General features: G+C 42.3%; 1 protein-coding gene across 4 annotated transcripts in view, besides 3 other annotated features; it reads right to left on the minus strand.

Moving 5' to 3' along the window:
* GNG12 (G protein subunit gamma 12) overlaps positions 1-24,794 on the minus strand; it is a 131,993-nt gene that overhangs the window by 28,235 nt on the left and 78,964 nt on the right. The window contains exon 3 of one of the 4 annotated variants that reach the window (XM_047425406.1): positions 11,067-11,167. The exons of the other annotated variants lie outside the window; for them this stretch is intronic. The gene's annotated coding sequence lies outside the window, so the exon portion shown is untranslated. The remainder of the gene's footprint in view (positions 1-11,066; positions 11,168-24,794) is intronic. 4 annotated transcript variants of the gene reach the window in all.
* Positions 4,341-4,460: a silencer, noted in NCBI's record as "silent region_986". NCBI's record gives its function as "represses an Ori minimal core promoter by ATAC-STARR-seq in GM12878 lymphoblastoid cells {active_cell/tissue: GM12878}" and the evidence as "EXISTENCE:reporter gene assay evidence [ECO:0000049][PMID:35858748]".
* Positions 6,437-6,516: an enhancer, noted in NCBI's record as "active region_1183". NCBI's record gives its function as "activates an Ori minimal core promoter by ATAC-STARR-seq in GM12878 lymphoblastoid cells {active_cell/tissue: GM12878}" and the evidence as "EXISTENCE:reporter gene assay evidence [ECO:0000049][PMID:35858748]".
* Positions 16,202-17,023: an enhancer, noted in NCBI's record as "OCT4-NANOG hESC enhancer chr1:68211594-68212415 (GRCh37/hg19 assembly coordinates)". NCBI's record gives its function as "activates a minimal SCP1, AML or CMV promoter by ChIP-STARR-seq in primed H9 embryonic stem cells {active_cell/tissue: H9 hESC(primed)}" and the evidence as "EXISTENCE:reporter gene assay evidence [ECO:0000049][PMID:30033119]".

Here is a 24,794-nt window from a genome sequence, read left to right on the forward strand (position 1 = left end):
TTGTGTGGGAAAGGGGTGCTCAGAGCACTACTACTAATTGGCTTTCCATTCTCCCTCCCCAGTGGCAGCCTCCAAGGGGGCTCCGTGGATTCCCAGGGCTTCCTGAGATAATTTGAAATTGCTGCTGCAAGCTACCATAGATACCACAGCCAGATGTATCTTCCTAAAATTCAGCTCTAATGATATTATCCTCCTCAAAAATCAACAACTGGTTGGTGGGAATGTAAATTATGGCAGTACTGACTTAGGTATTGCCATTCTAGTCCTAGGTGTATTCCCAACAGAAATGTGTACCTATTTTCACCAAAAGACCAGGTATTGGAATGTTCACAGCAGCACTATTCAAATGGAAACTGCCCAAATGACTAAAATGAGAACACAATGAGTCACTCAATAGAATATTATATAGCAAATGGCAATGAACAACCTTTAAAAACACATAATATGGATGAGTCTCGCAAACATAAAATTGAGTGAAAGAAGCCAAATGTAAAAGAGTGAAAAAGGAGACTGGGTGTGGTGACTTACGCCTGTAATCCCAGAACTTTACAAGGTCAAGGCAGGCAGATTACATGAGGCCAGGAGTCCGAGACCAGCCTCGCCAACATGGCGAAACTCCATCTCTACTAAAAATACAAAAAATTAGCTGGGCATGGTGGTGCACATCTGTAGTTCCAGCTACTCGGGAGGCTGAGGCATGAGAAAACACTTGAACCCAGGAGGAGGCGGAGGTTGCAGTGAGCTGAGATCATGCCATTGCACTCCAGCCTGGTCAACAGAGCAAGACGCCACCCCCCAACCGCCCCCGCACCGACCCCCGCCAAAAAAAGGAGTACATACCATATAAGTCTATTTACATTAGGTACTAAAAACGGGCAAAACTGATCTATGCTGTTAGAAGTTGGGATATTGGTTTCCTTTGAAGGGAAAGGTGGGAAAGGAAATACAAAGCAGCTTCTAAGTGCTGGCTGTGTATTTCACTTATGGTTAAATCATTATGATTTGGGTACTTTTCTGTATAATATTTTACTTCAATAAAAAGCTTAAAACAAACAATTCATCAAATATTCCCAATTAACTGTTGCACTAAATGCAACTTTCACTGGGGCCCAGGAACCCTTTTCAATACGGCTGTAATCTATTGTTTCAGAGTACTTTTTCTCTTTTTACTGTGGGGATTCTTTACCCCTAAGGGGTCCAGATATTCCTATGAAATGTTGTGGTAATATACATTTTCTGGGGAGAGGCATTCATGGTATTCCATAGCATTCATCCAGAACATCTGTCAGCTTTTCAAAGGGGCCCCGCAAACCAAAAAAGTAAAGAGCAATCACTCTCCTTGCTGCTCCTCAAATGGTCACTGGAATTTAACTCTGTGACTTATTCCTATTTTGTTTTTATTTTTTCCCCCCAGAAAGCCCTCCCCTCTCTGACTTCCCCCTCTTGAGATTCTACCCATGCTTCTAGGGCCTGTCAGGTCACCTCTACCACCAAGTTTCTGGATTCCCCAACCAAAAATTACCCCTTCGCTCCCTGTCACAGCTATTTATCAGTGGACTGCTATGATGCTCTGGTAGGCCCTGAGGATGTACAAATACTAATCCCCGCTCTCAAGGAGCTTTCTATCCAGTAGAAGGAAAACAGGTGTAACTTTAAGCACACATAAAATCCACATGTAACTTTAAGCAGAAAGAAGAGAGAGAGATAAGGCCAAGGAGAGTTCAGAGGAGAGTGATTCCTTTTGGCTGGGGGAAACTCCAGCAGGCTTCACGGAGGAGGTGGAACTGCCCTGCAGGATCTGGAGCTAGAAGGAAAGTGCATTCTAAGTGAGGGACAAAGGCAAGTGTTGTGAAAGCCATGAGCATGTGCAGGAAAGGGCAGGCAGTTTGGTTCACCCGAAGCAGAGGCACCATGAAGATCTGGAAGGGTGTAGACTGGAATCAGAAGGTTAGCTTTCAGGCTCTGGATTTTGAATTTTATGCTGGAGGCAACTGAAAGCTACTGAAAAATTTAAAGCGGGGCATGATATGATCAGATATGTGCCTTAGTATTTCAGAGGGATTAAGATGATCTCTTCCTCCTTCGAGGGTGTAAAATGCATTGTTCTGCCTCTGTGGTATTTCACTGCCTTTTGCTTCATAATACGGTTATTTTGTATGCTTATTTTTTTATATTCTCCACCCCAACTTGACTTGGCCTAATGGAAGACAAAAATGGTTTCAGTGCGAGCATGCTGTCTTACATGCGGTGGCATTCAATAGATATTTACTTAATGAATATGCAATGTCCACTTAAAATCATTTATGAATGAATAAGGAAAGAAGGTGGGAAGGTGCAAAAGAAAAAACACACAGGAGTAATATAAATAAGCTGGATGAATTCAGGTATTCCGTTCAGCCTTTAGATTCTATGTCTATGCCTAAGTGTTCACTATTCTGAATGACAGACATCTAGAGGAAAAAAATGCAGTCATAAAGGAGAATGTTTAAAGTTACTTAAGATGCTATATGAAGTGTACGTGAGGAATATTGTCCCACATCCTATGTTCTCAAAAGAACTGACTATCGGGGGACCCCCAGTATAAAGCGACTATTATTATCAAGAGAGGCCTGTTTAATGCTTAGCACCTAGAACATGAAATCAGAAAGTCCAGCCTAACCCTTGGCCTTGTTCCCTGACTTCCCATGGGATCTGGAAGGTGGGGAAAAGAGACAGACCATTCAACCTTTCAGGCCCTTGGGTTTCTTATTTTAAAAGAGGGGACTAAGTACTTTAAATACTGCAAAGAAAGGGGCTCTGCCTCCAAATCAAGAAAGAACAAAACACTCCATTGGGAGGGAAGTCAGTTCAGGAATCGAGTGGCAGGTCCCATAGCTCACTACAGCTAATAATGTTCACACTGCTTGTTTTCTTTGTATAACACTGCCTTTGCTTTTGAAGCTCTTTCATGTCTATTATCACACCTCATCACTTTGTCTGGCTAGCATAAGAGGAAACTGAGGCAAAAGGAGATTTAATGACTTGCCCAAGGTCCCCCAGGACTAGGGAAAGGAGCCGGGTTCCTGACCCTCAGACGAGGCTCTCTCCACTCATCTCAAGGCCTTTGTAGGGGCAGCAAGTTTCCGCAGGGGTGACCAGTGATAGCTACTGCCCTCCTGGCAGTTGTGCTTGGGGTGGGCCCCTCCATTTGGTCCAGGCCTGAGTGATTAAGCGCTTTATCATGGCCAAGGGCAATACATGGGAAGCTGAACCTTGGAGGATCTGAGCAGCTGGTGTGGCTTACCCGAGGGAGGGCGTGGGAAAGGAAAAGCAAAACTTAGCACCACTTGCAACTGCACAGGCTCCCAAGCCACACACTGCACAGCCCAGTTTAGTGTGCATGGTGCAGAGCTGACTGTGACTGGAATCAGCCCATTTTCTGATCTGAGTTTCCTTCCCTCTTACTGCAAAGCCCTCCAGTCAGTTAGGCAACAACATGTATCACAAGCCACCAGTATTTAATCTAGCCCTATTTTTGGAGCTGGTTTGGGGTGTTTGCCTTTTCTTCTTCTTTTTTTAAATGAAAAAAATGTTGAAAATTCAAACTATATGCATGTGTATAGAATACAAAGTTAAAACTCTTGCCTTCAAATTTCACTCTAAAGGGGTAACTATTGTCAATATAGTCTTTTTCTTTCAAACTTCCATATCCTCTTCTGGCCTTTGCAAATATACAATCATATACACGTGCACGTATATGATGTGCATGCATCTTTTAAACAAATGGAATCATATTTGCATATGGTTCTGCAATTGCATTTTTCACTCAATAATAAACATATCACAAGTAACCACCCTTGCCCATACAGAGGGTTAGTGTATTTTTATAATTTTAATTTTTCATTTTGAAATTCTTAAAATTTATAGGAAAAAAACCAAAAAGGGCAACATGAAACAATACCTAAAGTCAATTTTGAAAATTTGTAAATTTCTGCAATTTCTTTCCTTCTCCCCAGTGGACTTCCCCCAAACCTTCCTGGGAGTCATTGCAGGACCAACTTCAGAACACACAGGGGAGGGGAAAGAGAAAAACCCAACCAAATGTTATCTGCCTGTTGCAGGACTTTCCAACAAATAGCCCAGGCAGGCTGTGTACTGAGAGATCAGCCCAGAAGATGAGCCTGCAGAATCGTAAGGCCCCTCATACAGCACCCATTCTCCTTGGAGGATAGTCTCAGGTGAAATGGGGCAGTGGCAAGTTCAGTGAGTGTGCAATGCTTGAAGATAGTTTTGCCTTCTGGAAATCTAGGGCCAACGGTTTGCACAGGCAGCTGCCTTGCTCAAATGCAGGAAACTTGAGTTCCTTTCTCACCAGAATGTTCTTTTTGCAGATTCTGCCGGGGCCACCCACAGTGTGTGGCTAACCCTGATAGCTGTCCTGTGTCCCAGCGGGAGTGTGTGTTATTCCTGACTCAAGGGCAGGGCAGAGACCTACTGCCTAGACCTGAGCCCAGGTCTGGGCTGCTATCTAGTACAAGCAGATGGTGAGAGGCAGAGAGAGCACAGGGCAGCTAGAGAGAGTGCTAGAGGAAAGGAGGGTGAGGGCATGCTTCTTCTTTGATAGGTTTTCTGAAGACTGGGGAAACAGCATTTTGGCTGTGATCTGACCCCACAGTGGTAAATGTTTTGACTCCTTCTGCTACATTTAGAACACTGACTACTTCTGTATGTGCACAACGGTGTTCCAGGTCCTTTAGACGCACTAATTTACCCCTCACAGTCACCCTATGCAAGAGTGCTATATTTTCCCCACTACACAGATGGGGGAAGTGAAGCACAGGAAGCTAAATAACTTACCTAGGGAGTAGCAGATATGGGACTTGAACCTACGTACTCTCTGGCTCCAAAGCCCTTGTATCTAGCCATCACATTATGTTGCCTTCTTTATGATTTGTAGAGATGGGGCCTTGCTCTGTCACCCAGGCTGGAGTACAGTTGCAGGATCGTAGCTTACTGCAGCCTTGAACTCCTGAGCTCCAGCAATCCTCCAGCTTCAGCCTCCTGAGTAGCTAGGACTACAGGCACACTACAGGGTCTGGCTCTAGTTGCTTTCTTAGACTAGTATGGTGTTTCTTAAAATGTATTACAATTTTTATTTATTTATTCTTTTTATTTTCTTTTTTGAGACAGCGTCTCACTCTGTCACCCAGGTTGTAGTGCAATGGCGTGATCTCGGCTCACTGTAACCTCTGCCTCCTGACTTCAAGCAATTCTCCTGCTTCAGCCTCCAGAGTAGCTGGGATTACAGGCATGCATCACCACGCCTGGCTAATTTTGTATTTTTTTTAGTAGAGATGGGGTTCCATCTTGTTGGTCAGGCTGGTCTCAAACTCCTGACCTCAGGTGATCCACCCTCCTTGGCCTTCCAAAATGTTGGGATTACAGGCATGAGCCACCGCGCCTGGCCTCAGATGTATTACAATTTAATAGGTATATATTGAAATGGGTTCCATGCCATGTATTTTGGAAAGCCCTAGTTCACACAATGATAAGCAGACTTCTTTCACGCAAGACTTCTCAGGGTCTTTCCTGCACTAAGATACATTTATGATCTGGCAAGAGGCTTGTGGCTTGCAGCATTTCCCCAAATTATTTGCACATAAAAATATTTTCCGAGGAACATCTCATGAGATCATTGTTCTGCTGATCACACTTTGAGTGAATGCTGGCAAAGGGAGTTATTAGGAACAGGGCTTAAGTTCTGGTTCTTGCCATTTAACTGTGTGACTTTTGGAGTTGCTTAATTGGAGCCTGCGTCCTCATCTGCAAAAATGGGAGTGGCAACAGTCTCTACATCTCATGGAACTATCTGAGGATGAAATGCATATGTAAAGTGCTTAAAATTGTGCCTGCCTCCAAACATTCAATAAATGTGACCTCTTATAATGATTATAAAGAATACCAAATAATTTAAGAAAGGAACTATGAGAATTCAATTAAAAGGGGCAGAGAATCACTGTAAATACTATAATTTCTGAGTGATCTTCACTAACAACAGTGAAGCTCCTGTGAGAAAAACATAAAAAAATTCTTCCATGAAAGAAAATCCTAAACCATCACAGAGTACAATATTATTCTAAAGAAGGAAAAAACAAGGGAAAATATTTTTTTAAAAATAGTTCAGACAGAAAGTATCTTTGGCAAAGAGGATCTTCTGATAACATAACAGATGCAAATGAAAGACAGGGCTGATTTCCTGGGCGCTAAACCAAGTGGAGGAGTTCTCACAAGGGAAAGAGCCAGGTGCTGACCCCCTCTGCACTGGGGAAAGGAGGAAGATACAAACACACTTTCTTGCGGGGGGTAGATTCTCATCACTGAACTGAAAATGGCTTGGCATCAACAGGATGTCTTCCTGTTCCCATCTTATGAAGTGACTCATACATCTGCCATTTCACTTGCAGGAACTGTGGGAGAAGAACTAGGAGTCTGTTCATTAGGAACCCTGGCTCCACAAAGGCACTCCCTCCCAGCCTGACACAACGCCCACCTCTTCTTCCGGTTGTGCCTGCCAAGCGTGAGAGTGTACAACAACCAAAGCAAAACAAAAATCCCAACCCCCGAACCAAGCAGCAGGCAGGGAGAATGTTGCAGTAGAAGGCTACTGCTTCCTGATGCTAACGTGGACGCCAAAGGCACAGCCCACAGTTCCAGAACCCACACCACAGCACCTGAAACAATTTGCTCTCAGTGGGCCAGGGCAGCTCTAAACACTAGACTGCTTCCTGTTGTGCAGCTATGTAAATGAACCCTGTGCTGGGGCCACGGCCCAGCTGCACTGTGTGGCAGGGATGCGTGAGTAATGGAGTCACCAGGGCAGCCTCTCAGTGGAACATACTTGTGCAGCCTGCAGGCTCAGCCTCACGATGCCAACCCCAGGAGCAGTGACCCCCTCACAGGGCACACCTCTGCCAGGAAAACCATCCATGTGGTGGGGACAGACAGTTCCTTGGTAAGAACCGTCTGGATCCAGGAACCTCAGCAGATAGGGACTGAGTTGGGGGATGATTAAAACCTAGGGGAGTGGGCTCCAGACTGAACTCGGAGTGGTTTCCTTGGGTCATTTCTAATCTGCTTCAGTTTCCTCACGTAAGATGAGAGGGACCCACCTCTTAGGACCTCATTTGTGCAAGCACCAAATGTGTGTGCCTGCTAATGTCCACAGCAACACTGGAAAAGAAGTATCTCATTTTGCAGATGTGTAAACTGAGGGTTGGAGGAGTGAGTGAGCATGGCCAACATCATATAGGTACTAAAGTTGTGCAGCCTGAATATAAACCAAGAATTGTGGATATTCAGATGTGTCCACTCCTGAAATTCCACGTAGGCTGCTAAGCTTCCTTAAAATGATGTTTGCAACTAAAACCAAGTCTTAATTTTCTATATAAGTAGTACTCATTAGGTAAATTATCTACTGCAAATTAAAAATCATACTTTCATCAACCCTTCTTGGGCTACTTAGTCTTTTGCATTGCCAAATGGCCTGTGCTTAGGGGATTATAAATGGATTTTGAAACTAGCTAAAGCAAAGTCTAATTATAATTCTCATAATTAATCATTATAAAAATAAATCATTAATATAATTCCATGGCCAAATATAAATGATTTCTGTTCTAAGGCAATACCTCATTTATTGGCCTGAAGAAAGTTGGTTCTGAAAGATAAACAGTCACATGGATGGTAAGAAGAGCTCTGGGCCCAGGGTCAAGAAACCGAGGGTCTATCTAGGTTCAGCTGTTAGTTGGTTAACTGTGTAATTTATGCAAGTTACTCAATCCCCTTCCCTTTCCCTTTCTGCATCAGTAAAACAAAGAGCTTGGACTAGATCAGTGTTTCCTCCTCTTTTCAATATGAAGACTTTCTTTTTTTTTTTTAAATGTATAAGCACTAGCTTTTCCCTGCTCCAAAGATAGCTGTCTTTTTGGAGCCTACTGGTTATGAAAATACATAATAACAAGAAATTAACAAAAATGTTCTCTTTATTAATTGCAACAACATCTTCATATACTTTAACAAGAGTGGTGCCATTACATTTAAGACATTGTTACTCAGTTTATTGTCAATATGTGGCCCCTGTAAACAAGGGCTCACCCTTTGCAATAAACTGTCCACTCCCCTTACCATTCCTTGCCTGCACACTTTGAACCTTTGCATTAAATGGCCTCTAAGATTCTTTTCAGTGTCAAGCTTTATTATAAAAGCTTTTCTTTTCCTTTTTTTTTCTGTCACCCAGGCTGGAGTTCAGTGGCACGATCATGTCTCACTTCAGCCTCAACCTCCCAGGCTCAGATGATCCTCCCACCTCAGCCTCCTGGGTAGCTGGGACAGGTGTGCGCCACCATGTCAGGCTATTTTTTGTTTGTTTTTTGGTAGATATGGGGTTTCGTCATGTTGCCCAGGCTGGTCTTGAACTCCTGGGCCCACCTCAGCCTCTCAAAGTGCTGTGATTACAGGTATGCACCACTGTGCCCAGCCCTATTAGCAAATTATTTCTAAGAAACTACATACCAGATTTCAATTTTTTTTGTTTTGAACAATAAAGCAAATTATCAGTTAGTGATTTCGTTTTGTACTAAATCACAATCACTGTGCAACAATAGCCACAGATTAATTTATTGATTAGATATACATAACTGAATGCTTGTCCTAGGTATATAGAGGTGAATAAATAGACTCAGTCACTGTCCTCACTGAGCTTTGGTCTATATCAAGTCTTTAACAACGATCCTGAGCCCTCCCCTCTGTTTATCTCCAGCTTCAACCTCCCCCTGGAGCTCTGGTCTCTAATCTCTACCTGACCTCTCAACATTCCACTTGGATATCTAAAATGCATCTCAAAGTTTACACGTGTAGGCCAGGCATGGTAGCTCACACCCACAATCCCGGCACTCTGGGAGGCGGGAGGATCACTTGAGACCAGGAGTTTGAGACATGCCTGGGCAACATACACAGAACCTGTCACTACAAAAAATTGAAAAGGTTAGCTGGGCATGATGGCATGTGCCTGTGGTCTTAGCTACTCCTGAAGCTGGGGGCATGAGGATTGCTTGAGCCTAAGAGTTCAAGGTTATAGTGAAGTATGATTGTATCACTGCATTCCATTCTGGGCAACACAGCAACACCTTGGCTTTTAAAACAACAGAAATGGGACTGGGCATGGTGGCTCATGCCTGTAATCCCAGCACTTTGGGAGGCCAAGGTGGGCAAATCACTTGAGGTCAGGAGGTCGAGACCAGCCTGGCCAATATGGTAAAACTCCATCATGACTAAAAATACAAAAATTAGCTGGGCGTGGTGGCAGGCGTCTGTAGTCCCAGCTACTTGGGAGGCTGAGGCAAGAGAATCGCTTGAACCTAGGAGGCGGAGGTTGTGGTGAGCCAAGATTGCACCATTGCACTCTAGGCTGGGCAACAGAGTGAGAATCTGTCAATTAAAACAAACAAAAACAAAAAAACCCCAGCAACAACACACTTAATATGTAGAAATCTCTGGATCCCACCCTGTATGCCTGTCAAAATCCTTCCTCCTGTGGCATTCGCCATCTCTAAAATGGTAATACCATTCACCCAAATGCTCAGGCCCCAAAGATTCTTCCTGTTCTGAAATCCTCTCCCTCAAGGTGATATCCGCAGAGAGTTGATCACAATGACCGGTATGATCTTCACTCAATTTAAGTTTATTGAACGCCTACTATGTGGTAGGTCCCATATAGAGACAGAAGACAGAGGGCAGGCTGACATCACACAACTGATGAAAAGTATTGGGACAGCTACGTTGGAAAATCACAGAATAGGGGCTCTATCTTGTCCTGGGATCAGAGATAGCTTTTTGAAAGTGGTGTTCATGAGCTACATCTTCAAAGGAAGAGCCTGCGTCAAAGCAGTGTACTTGTAAGTTAGAAATGTACTCATGAGTACTCAAAATATCTGACAGATGAACTTCAGGGTTGAGGGAAGAGTTATGTTCTTACTCCTACAAACCAGAGCAGATCAGAGCTGGGCATAAACCAGACATAGTGAGTTCAGATATCTGAAGACCAAATGACCTGCTTAATTTAAACCTAACCCAGCCAGGAAAGCCACTGTGAAACTAGAACTCCACAATGGGCCGGAAAATATTTACAACTCTGTTTTAAAGCTGCTTTTCCATCCTTTTCAAAAATAATCTGAACACAGGGAATTTATCCTAAGGAAATAATCCAAAGTATGTGTATAGAGATATTCACTACAGTATTATTTAACGAAAAATTAAAAATGAACAATAAAAATTCACAAAACACAGGCATGGATAAATTACGGCACGCCAGCTGGATAAATATACCACTGAAGGCATGATTTTTCAAGATTGTATTGCTATATAAAATATGTTTAGGATATTACATTAAGTAAAAAATGTATAGTTTTACCCGTGCTACTCACAGAGTATATAAGATTATATACAAAGTGCATAAAGAATGAGCAGAACATACACAAATGAATTAATTCGCTATACAGGGCTATGAATACTCTTACCACTGTTGTTTGAACTATAAAAACAATTAAAAATAGAACAAGTCTCCTATATTTCTTCCCTGCTGATCTGGGGCAGGGGTCTGTAAATTACAGCCAGTGGGCCAAATCCAGTTGGCTGATGATTTTTGTAAATAAAGTTGTATGAGAACATAGGCATGCTCACTTGTTTATGTATTACCCATGGCTGCTTTTGCCCTTCAATGGCAGAGTTAAGCAGTTGTGATAAAGACTGTGTAGCCCACAAAGCCTAAACTATTTACTATTTGGCCCTTTACAGAACAAGTTTGCCAATCCCTGATCTGGAGTAAGGAAAGATCATGCTTCATTCTAAAATTTACTACATATATAATTGCTACGGTTTAAATGTTTGTGTCTCCCCAAAATTCATATGTTGAAATCCTAACCCCATGGTGACAGTATTAGGAGGTGGTGATTAGATCATGAGGGTGGAGCCTCCATGAGTGGGATTAATGCCCTTATAAAGCAGGTTCAAGGGAGCTAATTGGCCATTCCCACCTTGTGGTACATAGCAAGAAGGCACCGTGTATGAGGAAGCAGGACCTCACCAGACATCGAATCTGCTAGAGCCTTGGTCTTGGATCTCCACTGCTCCAAAACTGTGAGAAATAAATGTTGTTTATAAGCCATCCAATTTATGGTATTTTTGCTGTTACAACCATGAATATGAATGAACAGGGAATCATCTATGTTTTATATTTTTATCCACTAGTTCTTAAAAAAAAACCCAAACTAAAGAATAAAACTATTCCCCAAAACTATTCTTCCCATTTGTTTCTATTTCAGTGTATATATAAAGGTCATGCATTAATCAGACAGCTTATTACCTAATTTGAACCTCAGTTCATTTTTATAAAATACAGACTGGGGACACGTGACAGAGAAATGCTTCTTAAGTTAAAGATTAGTGGCAAGAACTGAAAAGCATTTTTTACAACTTAAGGTTTTGTTTGCTTTTTAAAGCTTCTCTGGCCTTTGGGAGAAATAAACACGTCAGAGTTCCTGGCCATTCTGATTGCACACCTGGACTTCATGGCCACCGCCTTCTTGTGTAAGGTCACTGACATGTGCAGACTACATGGACTTAATTCCTCCAAGCTGTTCCTCCTTGTGCTACAAAAATGCACTGACCCTGGAAGAAAGTTCACCATATTCTATCCAAAGTCCCTCACCAGCTACCAGTGCTATTAACTGCCTGGCATCTGTTTCCTCTGTTTGCCAAGAGGGGAAGGACTGATGGCTATGTTTAGGGTTAACAGCTCATTCTCAGATTCTGGAGGGGCTGGGATCACCCCAAACAGAAACTGATCATCAAAGGTCTTTAATTCCACCATCTTTGAGTCTATAACAATTAAGCTAGCTGTTTGATACTAGAATAAATTATTTAAAAATACTGTATAACTTGAAAAAGCTCTAGAATTGGATCAAGGAAGTAAAGTCTAAGTCAAAAGTCCCAAATTGGCATTTGGAGGACTGAATTTGGCTTGCAGACCTGTTTTATTTGGCCTACAGAGAATTATTATTATTTTTTTCATGGAGCTAACATTCAGAAATTGGGAGTTTTCACATAAAAATCCAGATTTCTGGCTTCTTTACATAAAGCACATTCCCATGTGGCTGCTCAGTTGGAGCTGAGTAGCAGATGCACTTGGATATGGCCTGGCCTCACCTGCTGCATTGCTCTACTTGCCTGGGCCCACAGGTGGCTGAGGCTGTGACCGTGGGGTAAGTCATTTTTTGGAAAGTTGTTTCAATGTTTCAAGCAGGCAGTGGGACCAACACCAAGTTTAGGAATCAAAACCTTTAAAGTGCTGAGACTGAATTTTGGTTCTTCTGCTTTGCTACTTAGAGGGGGCATCAATTAGGGTGAACCGGCAGATTCTCTAGCACCCTTTTAGAAATGATCTAAGTAAATGTTCACAACATTCACAAAAAGACTCATCCACCACAATGTGCATTAATCAATCAATATCAAGAAATGTTTTATTCTCATGACCCAAGTTCTGTTTATTTCCCCTGACCTACTCTAAAACAATCTAATCTTTAATAATTTAATAAATATATGTTGGTATTTTCTAGAGGCAAGTTACTACACTATATACTCACAGAGAATTCAGGAATTCTCTGGCCCTAAGGATCTGGTAATTCACCTGGGAAGAAAACTCCCACATAGACCAAAGAGAAGCTTATAGCTCTAACTCTGTGGCAGGCACTGTGCTCAAAGCATTCGTTCTCACAATTACTCTATGAGATAAGTACGATTATTATCTCAAAAGAAGAATAAATTTGGGGGCCTGAAATGACAGGTAGGGTCCAAAGAAGCTGAAGAAAAGTGGCAAAAAACAGTGTGTATAAAGCGATATAAGCTATCTGAAAAAAGAGAAAGAAATATTTTTATTATAAATAAAGTCACTAAATTTCAGTGGAAGATCACTGGCAAATTATACCACTTGACTGCTTTCTACATCAAATAATGCAATTTTCCATTCTTGGAAACATATAATGATTTCTGGTGGTATATGGGCATACATTTATTTTAATAGAAATAGCTCATGTTTATTTGAAAAAGATAATTACACATCAAACTAGTGGTTTTATGGATGATATTGACACAAGGATAAGTTAAAAAGTGAGTTGATTTAAAATGGATTTAAAGAAAAACACTAAACATCTGATACTAGATGGTATGCAGGTCTGATAAATCCTCTGATGGTGGCATACAAAATACTGGTGTTTAGAATACACTACCTTATTAGAAGAGTAAAGATACAAGCTATCTACTTACTAATCAGGAAGAATAAAGGTTTCTTTTTGACTGCTTAGTAAAAAATTCAGTTACACTGGGTTCACTAAGAATAACATTTCTAGAGTGTTACCATGAAGCCACCTTCCGGGATCTGCAGCCTAGGAGAATAGGAGTAGGGGCAGCTGGGTGAGAATGAAATGCTATCTAGTGTTTTAGGAATTTGAATCTTGAAATCTCAGTGTCAAGATTTAGTATGCACTGAAGCTAGTACCTGAAGCAGAAGCAAGGTTCTTCATGCTACTGTCAGCTGGGTAGGCAAAATAACATAAAAACAACAAATATAACAAAATGCAATACATCTTTGGTAACAATAAAAACTGCATCTAACCTCATAGCATAAATGTCTCCATACAGCAAATGACAGAGAATTTTTATCTGCTGCTAATACCGCCAAATGCAACAGAAGAGTGAAACTCAGAAAAGCCTAGATTAGATAAAGACCGTGACAGGCCAGAATGCCTTTGCATACAGGGATTTTGCAAAGTAAGACCCAGGGAAACAAGACAGTTTGGGTTTACTCACACCTGCCTCCATTTGAATTTGCTTCCTGACTGCCCCCTACCTCCCCTGAAAAAGCCCTATTTATGGCATATATTTTTAAAACTTCAGAAACTCAAAGAGCAATTAATTTAGGCTGCTGTAATGCTTAAGACACTTCTATATTTCTATTCATCAATAAACTGAATTCTTTGTGTTTATAAGCAGGAGGTAAGTTATGAGGCAGACCAGTCATCCAGCTTTTTACAAGGATATTGGTCTTTAAGAGATTGAGAATGTTAGTTGCATGTTAAACAATTTTCTGGAAATATATCACAATAGAGAAAATGGTATTTATTTGTCAGTGAAGTGCTGAAAACGGTTAGTAGAAATAACATAGTAAGCCACTTGGGTGTGTTCCTTTGAGTGAGTTTTTGTGTGTGTGTGCGTGGGGAAGAGAATCCTCAAAGGGCATTGCTTGAGTGATGATGACAGTACGAACAATAAATGTAACAGTATTTACTGGATGCTTCCTATGTACCAGGTACTGGTGCTACACAAGAATTACCTCATTTAATCTTCACACTAACCCTATGAGGGGGTACTTCTATCATTCCCACTTTATGTATGGAGAAACAAAGGCATGAAGAAATCAAGTAAATTACAGCTAGCAAGTCATAGAGCTGGGATGTGATCCTAGGTAGATCAACTCCAAACTTTTGCTCTTAAATGCTGGTTCCCCGGGTGCCTACTAAGCAAGATTGTTCTGGGTTAAACAGCAGAGTTTTTGTACTGCCAACTGCTGTCCGCAACTCCAGAGCCTGAGATGAAATTCTCAGGTGTCCAAGGAAAGGCAGAGGCTACCCCTGGTGTTTCCTCTCCACTGTGCCCTACACTGTGCTCGGGCACTTCTTTAAATAACTGATTTTCAGATATACGAAGAACATTTGTAAGAAGGAGCACCAGTTTATAGTCTGCAGAGAGGGCCCACGTCTTAGTGCAGCGCCATGGAAATGGACAGAGACAAGGCACCGGTTCCAGAATCACACATATGTGACTGCTACTCATGGGGCAGGAGCTAGGAGGACTCAGGTTTTTTTGTGAAAGGCCATGCAGATGCTATTAATATCTCATTTCATCCTCACTAGAACCCTACAAAGTATGTAACATGTCCCATGTTACAGATGGGAAGAGCGAGCTTTGGTCATCTGCACCAAATTATACACTTAGCAAGGGGTAGATCCGGCATTTGAATCTCTACCTCCAAATCTTCTGTCCCTCCCAGCACATCTCCTAAGAGAGAATGTGATCCTATTTAAAACTACAACCAAGAGTAGTGGCTAAGTTCACAGGCTGGAGCCAGAATGTCTGGGTTTGACCAGCTCTGCCACCTACTTGCTATATGACTGAGGGCAAGTCGCTTATTTTCTCTGTACCTCTTTCTATATCTGTAAGATGCGAATAATAATTGCACCTATCCTATTGGATTGTATTGAGGAATGAATGTATTAGTATTTGTAAAGTGTTTAGCACAGTGCTTGGCACATGGTAAATATTTACTTAAGTGTGTGAAATAAATAAAAATGTAAAACTTTCTCTTGTATGGGTACTTATACACAGACGACAAATAAACCAGGGTAATAGATGTGTCATCACAGAAAATTTATATAAATCAACTTTCACAGTTGCCAATGTAGCAAGCCCACCACAAACACTGTTGTGGGACCTGATAGCTTTCCATCTGAATTGTTGATGTGAAGAATACATTTGGAAGAGTCCTGGGCTTTAGTCTCAGATCTGACATGAATTACTGCGTGACTTGGAGAAGGCATTTCACTCTTCTGGGCCCTGCTTCTTCCCAGGTGGAAAGCTGCCCCGGTGACCAGGCAGCATGGCATTGGGAAGGAAAGTGCCCAGAAATGGCATCCAAGCCCCACAGGGTCTGGTTCTCCCACATACGAATTTTATAACTTTGGACAAAACTGCTTTATTTCTTTGCATCTCTATTTCTTCTCTCTAAAATGGAGAAAATGGTGTCCGTCCCCTTATTTCACAGGGTTGGGGGCAAGTAAGAAAGGGAACATTAGAGCCCCTTTGCAAACAGGGCTCTCCACAGGCATCTCCTTTGCTGGGTAACAGGTGGATACTTAGTAAGTATTTGTGGTTTCCAAGTCAGTGTAAAAATCTAAAAAATAAATAAATACATAAATAGATGTTTGTGGAAATGACGTGTAGCACCTATCATTGTCTGATGTAGTTTTCCTTGTTTGTTACTTGTTTCTCCATCCCCCTAGAAGCTAAGGTTTCTGAAAGCAAGGACATCTCTGTCTATATCCCTGCAACTGTTAAAGAGTCAGTACTTAATAAATACTTATTGACCGAATTTGTGGAAAGTATGAATACATGAACCAATGAATAAATGACTCTGAAGTTACATGAGAAGCAAACAAACTTACCTAAAGATATTAATGAAAGTCCAAAGTCCTAAGAAACAAGGTATGCAGGACTAAAGCTCTTGGTGTATTGTATCATCTGACTCCTCTAAATTCTTTTCTTTGGGGAGGTGGTTTGGGTGGAGAAATGGCAGAGTTAAGATACTATAAAGTTGTTAAATTAACATACTCAGCAGGTCCACAGACTTTCTAAAGCTGAATACCAACTGGGATAATTAAAGGCCAGAGCCTTCTTTTTTAATTGACTCTCCAATAAACTACCTGCTGACAAAGGCATAGTTAAGTTGATTCCTGCAAGAATAAAGAAACGTTTCTCTTCCATTCTTAATTTTTTAAAAAGTCCCCACTTTCCCCTCTAGCTCGATGAGCACTTAAATTCACCAGAATTAAAAAGAAAGTTACCAAATACTTTTTTTTTTAAACTAAGCAAGCCTGTAACATCCCTTCTTCTCAGCAATCAACTCATGAAGGCACGGAAGTGGCTTGTGCTGAGGAAGGCATTCGGAGGGAGCTATGGGGGCGGGGGAGGTGGTCACACCAGCTCTTCACCAAGGGATGGAGAAGTGCCCAGGAGCCTCCCTCATTCCTCTCCATCCCTGTGGTCTAAAATAAAATCTACCATCTAAAAAATACTGTTCTAAAAATAGGGAGTTTGGCTTAAATCCACCAGTTGGTGTTTTGATTTTTAAATTATGTGCAAAAAATTACGCTTAAGACCCAGAGAGTATTAGTAAGTAATTCAAGGAGGTTGCCATTTTATTTTGATTCCAAAGTTCTAAAACATTTATTCTCTCAGAGTCTAAGGAAAGGTGAAAAGAGACAACAGAAAGGGGGTAAAATGATGTAGAAGGCTTAAATTCCAGTTTGAAAGTGAAAGGCAGCTAAACATTCCTAAAGCAAATAATATACTTTAAAAGTGTGTGTTTTTTTTTTCTTTTTTGGTGGTGGAGGCCATGCTATAATTCACTCTAAATAAGTAGAAGAAAAACTGGTGAGTTTCAACTTAGTTACTCCTATCTTTCCTGATACCATTTTGGGATCCAACTTTTATGCACACAAAACTGCAAATAATTCCTAACATGCAGTTTTAAAAGCATAAAGAATCTTTTTGTTTGTTTGTTTTTGAGACGGACTCTTGCTCTGTTGCCCAGGCTGGAGTGCAATGGTGCGGTCTCAGCTCACTGCAACCTCTGCTTCCCGGGTTCAAGTGATTGTCCTGCCTCAATCTCCTGAGTAGCTGGGACTACAGGTGTGTGCCACCATGCCCAGCTAATTTTTATATTTTTAGTGGAGATGGGGTTTCACCATATTGGCCAGGCTGATCTCGAACTCCTGACCTCAAGTGATCTGCCCGCCTCAGCCTCTGGAAGTGCTGGGATTACAGGCGTGAGCCACCGCGCCTAGCCCATAAAAAATCTATTGAGTGTTCGATGGCCCAAGACTGTATCATCTTTGGAGTAAGAGTTTTAAAGCCTCCCTCATCAGACACCAATCATAACCAGAATGTATTTTCAGAAAGGTGTGCTATTACAGTATCTTGATTAATGAATATTAATTTTACATGAAATTGGGCTATTTTAAAAAAGCTTTCACTTAATGAGAGTGAGGTGGGCAAGTAGTGTTATAAGAAGCAAATATTAATGCTATCTGCTTCTGGACAGAAAGACTGAAGTACCTAAAAAGTCTGATTTTACATGTGAACTTTAGCAACACAATTTTCAGCTCATCTCTAAAGATTTGAACTTGTGTGTGGGTAGCATCATGTGTGGACCACAAAAGTCACCATCTCTCCTCCTCTTCCCGGAACAAACACCCACAAACTGATGGGGATGCTCTGAAGGTTAAACTGGATCTTCTAATTGTCCAGGAACGTATGCTATGCAAACAATGTTGGCTCCCTGTACCAAGGCAGAGCTATTGTGGGACTTGAGGCTGCTGGCTATGAGGAGAAGGATGGTGGGGCACAGTTCTATTCACTGGGGCAAAGTGGGAACCCAAAAGAGGGTGGCTGAAATGTTTTATTATCCTAATCTTCAGAGGACAAATAATTACAGAACATTCTATATCAGAACAAGAGACTGTTAGTCTGCATGAGGGGGCAGGGAGAGAAAGGCAGAGGGCAGAGATAAAGAACTTTCCTTTTTGTGGGGGCAGGGAAAGGAGAGAACCTAAAGGGTGGACTACAATTCACTTTTCGAAGGAGTTTTCTGTTTGTAATATGCTTCCTTTGAAGAGTGGAAGTTCTGGGCATTTGGAAGTTTGGTTACAGATCAAGAAAGAAATTCCTGGCTTTCCAGAGTTTGGTGGCTACCAATCAAAGGTCAATCAGATACAAAAATCAGAGTAGTCCTGAAACCATACCATAGGCTACTGGGAAGATGTAACATGCTTTATAAAAAAATAACAATAATCTCTTGCATGCATTTTTCTCTTCAGTGAAACACAGGGATATGAGTTCTTTAAAAGAAGTAGCAAGAAGGGCACAAAAAACAGAAATCGTGCTTGGGGGGATAAGAAGAGAGGGTGGAGGAAGAAGTGCAGCGTCTTTTGGGATGGCAGCTGTTTTATTCGCACCCTCTAAGAGTTCCTGAAATAATTAACATGCACTGCCATTCTTGTTTTTCCAGTGGTGATTTCATCTAGTCCCTACAGAAACTGAGAATTAAATGTCATGGTTTTGTGTTTTGGAAAGCAAAACTCTCCCCCAAACAAGGGAGTTCTGAATACTGCTGAGAGCATGTGAGATCTGAAAAGTCTGCAGAGTGCTAATCATTAACATGCTACTTTTGGAGGCAGGACTGCCCCTTTCTTTGCTATCACATTTCCTTCTATTTGATCCTGCCCTGTACTGGTTTACTTTCTGTTTCTCCCACTCATTACCACGCATTCTTCCATAACACATGTGAAGTCCAGAATAGCCTCTCCCTTTCGGTTGGCCAACTCAACACTTCCCTTACAAACTCTCCTTAAAAAAAAAAAAATCATCTCTGACTTATTTTCCAAGGACTTTCCCTCTTCCCACTCCCCTGGAGGGGAGGAGGTGGGGAACAACCAAACCCTCCATTTCTTCCTGAATAATGCAGGAGAATAAAGCAGAAGGTCTACAGACATTACTTATAGTAACCGCAAATAAAAAGGTGTCTAAGAAGAATAGTCTGCTAACTTAGTTTGGAGGGAGACAGATTTGGGTTCGCATCCTGCCTTTGTCATTTGCTCGTAGTGAGACTATGGATAGGTCGCTTAACCTTTCCCTAAACCTCTGTTTTTTTCACCTGCAAAATGGAACTTTACATTAGGGTAAAATTATTATTTTAAGATAACAGTATTAGGAGTTTTAATAATAAAAAAGCCCTTCCAAGGCTGTAAAGGGAATTAAATGAGACAAAGCATATGGAGTGCCTGGAACACAGTAAGCACTCAATAAATGTTTGCTGCTACTGATGATGATGTAAATCTTTTGAGGAGGAATGTCATCCTTTCCCCCACTGCATATATAGTAACACGGATTCAGTGCTTCTCAAAGCTAAAATACAGTACCAGGAGGAAGGGTCTGGGTACAACTGTTTGCTGATTGCTGCCCCCAGGAAGCACGTCTCAGAGGCAGCCTGCACGACAGAGCAAAGGGCTTATTTTAGGAGCCTCCAATCAGGACAGACTGGTTGATCTGGATGCCTCACCTGGCAAGGCAGCCTCAGCCACACGCCCATCTCCACAGGCTATCGGCATTCCCAGTGGGATGCACCACAGCCCCAGACTGAGAATTTTTATCCACAACTTGTTCCCCTCTCCTGATCTCCCTTCTCCCTTTTGGAGACCTCAAGGCTGGAGAGAAATGAAAAGCAACAGCTCTGCCTGACAAATAAGGTAAGGACTCTGCCTCTCAGGTGCTGAGTCACTGGTTAGGAACTGTCCCATCTACAGACTCTCCCAGAAATTTACACAAAAACACAAAGTTGGGCTCCAAACCTTGGGCACTCTCAGAAAGGCTATGATTCACCAGGGTGTGCTTCAGAACTGAAACTCTGGGTACAGAAGGTACCCACTGCCCAGCCTGCCAACAACCTATCTTCCTTTAAACAACAAAAACGGAGCAGAAAGAGGAAAAAAGCCTGAACCTTTCCTAATAAGGTAATACCACATGCCATTTGTAGTTTTGAATTGCTTGGCACGCCAGGATCATATGACATTCACCGCAGCTACTGCTTCATGCTTGTGTGAGGCTCTCCAGGAAAAATGAGAGAGTCTTTGGTGTGCCTCTGGGGGATTACAAACGAACAGGGAACATGTTCTCCCAGTGGAACCTCACATTTTCCTGATTAACCACACTTGCCTCACATCCCTCTTTCACACTGCTGCCTGCAGGCCTCTTGCTTTGTGGGCTCAGGCATTGTAAAAGTTCTCAGGTTGCTTTGTATGCAGGTTTTCTCTCTCCAACGAGGTGCACGCTTTTTGAGGGCAGAAACACTCCTTTATTTCTTTTGTTTCACCCTGCTATGCTCATCACAGCGTAATTCACCCAGCAGTTACTCAATAAATGCTTGATGACAGACTAGTGCTGAGAATTTTACAGATCAGTAGGTGATCATTTTATATCATTAGCCCCTAACTTACAAATCGGCAGGGTTTCAAAAGTTGGTTTCAAAGAAGGTATTTATGTAGCATATTTTCCCATAGAAACAGTGTTATAACTGGGGCTTAGGTTTCCAGGCCCTCTTATTTCTCAGAATATCCTATATCTACTTACATGCAGTCTTATTGAGCTCTCTCATTTGCCTCAGACTCACATTAGACTGCCAGTATATGTGCAGGATAAACTCTAGTTCTTTCAGTTACAGCAATGCTGACTTGCACAAATTTCCTTTCCCACTTATTAGTCGTATTTTCATATTTTATGACACTATATGTAGCAGCAGGTAATAAATTACTCATCATATACTTTAAAAATAACACTAACAGGTAAGGAGTTATTTTTGCTCCTCATTAAAAAAGATGCATGAACTTTTGTTTTTCCTTTTACATTAAAATATTTTTCACCAGTTTTTAACCTCAGTTATTATTTGGGCCACTCCAGACTTTCCCAACCATTTACACACATTCACCCCCTCACCCACCCACCCACGCATCCACTCATAGTCTACCAGGACTGCCCATTTACATGGATACACATACAGACACACACACACACACACACACACACACGTGCATATACACACACGTTTTAAAATGCATTCTGGGCCACTAAAAATATTTATTAGCCATTATAGAAATGAATGACATTAGTTTTCAAAGTAAAAGCTATAGTTGTTCAACAGAGAGGCAGAGTCTGTGAGCCACTTCTCACTACAGCATAGGGAGAATGTTTAATGGCACCTCTGGGAATAATATAGTATCTGAAGAAAAAAGCTTTCAATGGCTCAGGGGGCAGGACAGTCACCTTCAGTTGACTGTCCCACAGTTAGGGTCTCTGTACCCAGTCTCCTCCAGAGCCTCAAGAGTGGCAGCTCTGGGGAAACACTGTCCCCTGTCCAGGGTGGGGTCTTCAAACAGGTCAGGGTTGCTGTGTTTGGGGTCTTGAGTACAAAAGTACATGCACACAAATGTCGACTGGCGTACTGCTTCTGGGATACTTAGGTAACCTGAAAAGCCATACCTCGGCCCTTATTCCCATTCAATAGCATCCTGAAAAGAAATCTAAGTGATTTTCCAGCATGGCTTGTGAGACATCTCTTGTGTCTCTATGGCTGGTGGAAAGAGTTATCATGCAGATGCTCTAGAAGAGTCAAACCCAAACCATAAGCAAACAGAAACCTCTCTCAAGACTAATGTGCTGAACACGGGTACTGAATGAGGTGAGCCTCTCCCCATTTTCTGGAGTCCACAGCTGTCTTTCTAAGCTAAGTCGGCATTTAAGTGGCACAACAGAGATGCCAGGTTAATGGCTGTGAAGGATGACAAATATCAGTATGGTCGTATTACATCTGTCTTTCAGCAAGAGTTATTACCAAGACATAAGAAACTGCAGTCCCTTCCCTGCCCCATAGCACCTCATAGTTACTCAATGTGGCCCATCCTCAATTGATTACGCTGACCCTTTAATGAGAAGTTCTGATAACCATATGCTTGTTAGCAGGCCTTTTCTTTGATCAGCTCTTACAGGAAATCTAACGTATACTCCTTCACTCTCCCACCACTGGGAGAAATATAATTGAATCAATGCAGTAATTAAGTACCCCATATTCATCTTTCCTTGGCGTTTCAGGATGTTGCTCTGGTTCCAGGTCTCACTGGAGAGAAGAGGGCAGCTGTCCAGAAGTAGCAAGTATAAGAGACTGGTCTGAATGTACCAGGATCACAACAGACATTTTGAAAGTTTACTTTGTTTACTTTGTCTCTGAAAAATGCCAAGCATGTAGGAGTTTGGGGTTAACAGGTTGCATGCAGTCAGATCCCAGTACCTTGAGCTGTTATTCTAATTTAAGGAATGCAGACATGTGGCATGGAGGTTGCCTCTTTTCCTCTTGCACTCACGGTAGACATCCCTAATGGATCAGCACTCATGGCAGCTATCACTAATGAGTCATGGTGTTCTTTCCTGTTGGGCCCAGACATGAGCTAGTTAATACTTCTTTTCAACACCTCGCCCCAATCACATAAGTTGGAAACAATGAACTATTTTTGTTCTAATTGATTTCATATACTTTAATTTCTTTCCTTAAAGTAACTGACAGTTGACTAAGGTATCATTACTTTATTTTAGCAACATTCTCTCTATACTTCTTAGCTAATTCCTCCACTAATCTGAGCTACAAATAATATGGGATATCATCCATTGCCAGACACTGTTAGACACTAAGTGCCAATTTATGTCCCTGTGTCCTTACAAAAATCTCAAGGCAGGGAAAGGTGGCTCGAATCTGACCTGTATTATGGCTTCCAGTAACCTTTCCAGGTGACTGCTACGCTGAATTATTGGCCTCCCTTTGCTTCCTACAGTGTCACCACTGCATTCACTTTGTCATACTACAATGGTCTGTCCATGTGCCCTCTTCCCTACTTAGCTCCACAACAGCAGGACCCATGTCTTACTTAACCTTTCAATGCCCAGCACATGGAACACTGCTGAATATAGAGTGGGTGTTTGGTAATTATGTTGAAAGAATTTTTTTTTAAGTTCTTGTTTTCAAATACAAGTTGAGCATCCCAAATCTGAAAATCCAAAATCCTCCAAAATCTGAAACTTTTTGGGCTCTGACATAACACTCAAATGAAATGCTTACTGACGCATTTCAAATTTGGGATGCTCAACTGGTAAGTATATAATGTAAATATTCCAAAACCTGAAAAAAAAAAAACCTGAAATCTGAAACACTTCTGGATCCAAGCATTTCAGATAAGCGATTCTCAATCTGTACTTGCTGAGTTTCAATTCATGCCCTACAGTGAACATCACCCATGACAAGTCCTGCGACTGGAGGAAATTTACTTCATAAAGTAAGGAGTGGTGGGCAGGCCAGCCAGAACTGAAGCGGGGGCCAGGGCAGCCCCGATACCTTCCATGAATCAGCTGTTCGCATGCACCTCCCCTCCAAGCATGAAAAGCATTCACAGCTCAGCTTCTGCCTCCATGCTTCACTGCTGGGTTTGCAATTTGCCTTTCTGTACCTCCCACACTGGACTGTGCTCTGTATCCCTAGCACTTACTAAAGTGTTCGGTCAGTGGTGAATAAAGATCTTTGAAGGGGTCTGTAGTAAAGACAGCACTGGCCTGAGACTGGAAAACGGGGAGCTACTTCTAGAACTGCCCTGATCCCCTTGGGTGGTTTCTGTCTGAGTTGTTTTTGTGGTGTCGGTGAGAGAATGCCTGCCCAGCAGGACAGGTGGCGGGCGTTAAGTGTGGCAGTGTATGTGAGCACTCTGCCAGGGTAAAGGTAGGCGCTCCCTTCTCCTCTTCATGAGGCTGCCCTACACGGGCTGCTGTTGTCATTCCAGCATGCCCTGCCCCTTTGGCCACTCTCCTCTGGGCCACTTTGTGCAGCTCAGTGTAACAACTTTCTGTTCCCGGTCGTGCCCGGAGAGTTGTGAGCTCCCCACCTCTGCGCATGTTATTTCTTTTCCTTCATCTCTCCTCACCTCCAACTCTGTACAGATTTCTGGGCAGCTGGAGGGCAAGCTCTTGGCCTGGCCCACAGGTGCTGTGTGCTATGACTGCCGGTCACCTCTTCAGCTTGGTCCCAACCACGCCTACCTCCCACACACTAAGCCCCGGTCATACCTGAACTCATCATTCCTGTCCCCACCACAAACCTCCGCCTATTGTTGTGGTCTCCAGCTCAGGGAGTGGCACTGTCATCCAGGCAGCTGCCGAAGCCAGACACCCCAGAGTCGTTCTGGACTCCCCACTCCTCCACCACACCCCTTCTTCTGTCTCCAAGTCCTGCTTACGCCACCTCAATATTTCTCAAATTAGTATATTTTTACCCCACTGCCCCA

The sequence above is a fragment of the Homo sapiens genome, chromosome 1 (assembly GCF_000001405.40).
Source record: "Homo sapiens chromosome 1, GRCh38.p14 Primary Assembly".
Classification (NCBI taxonomy): Eukaryota; Metazoa; Chordata; class Mammalia; order Primates; family Hominidae; genus Homo; species Homo sapiens.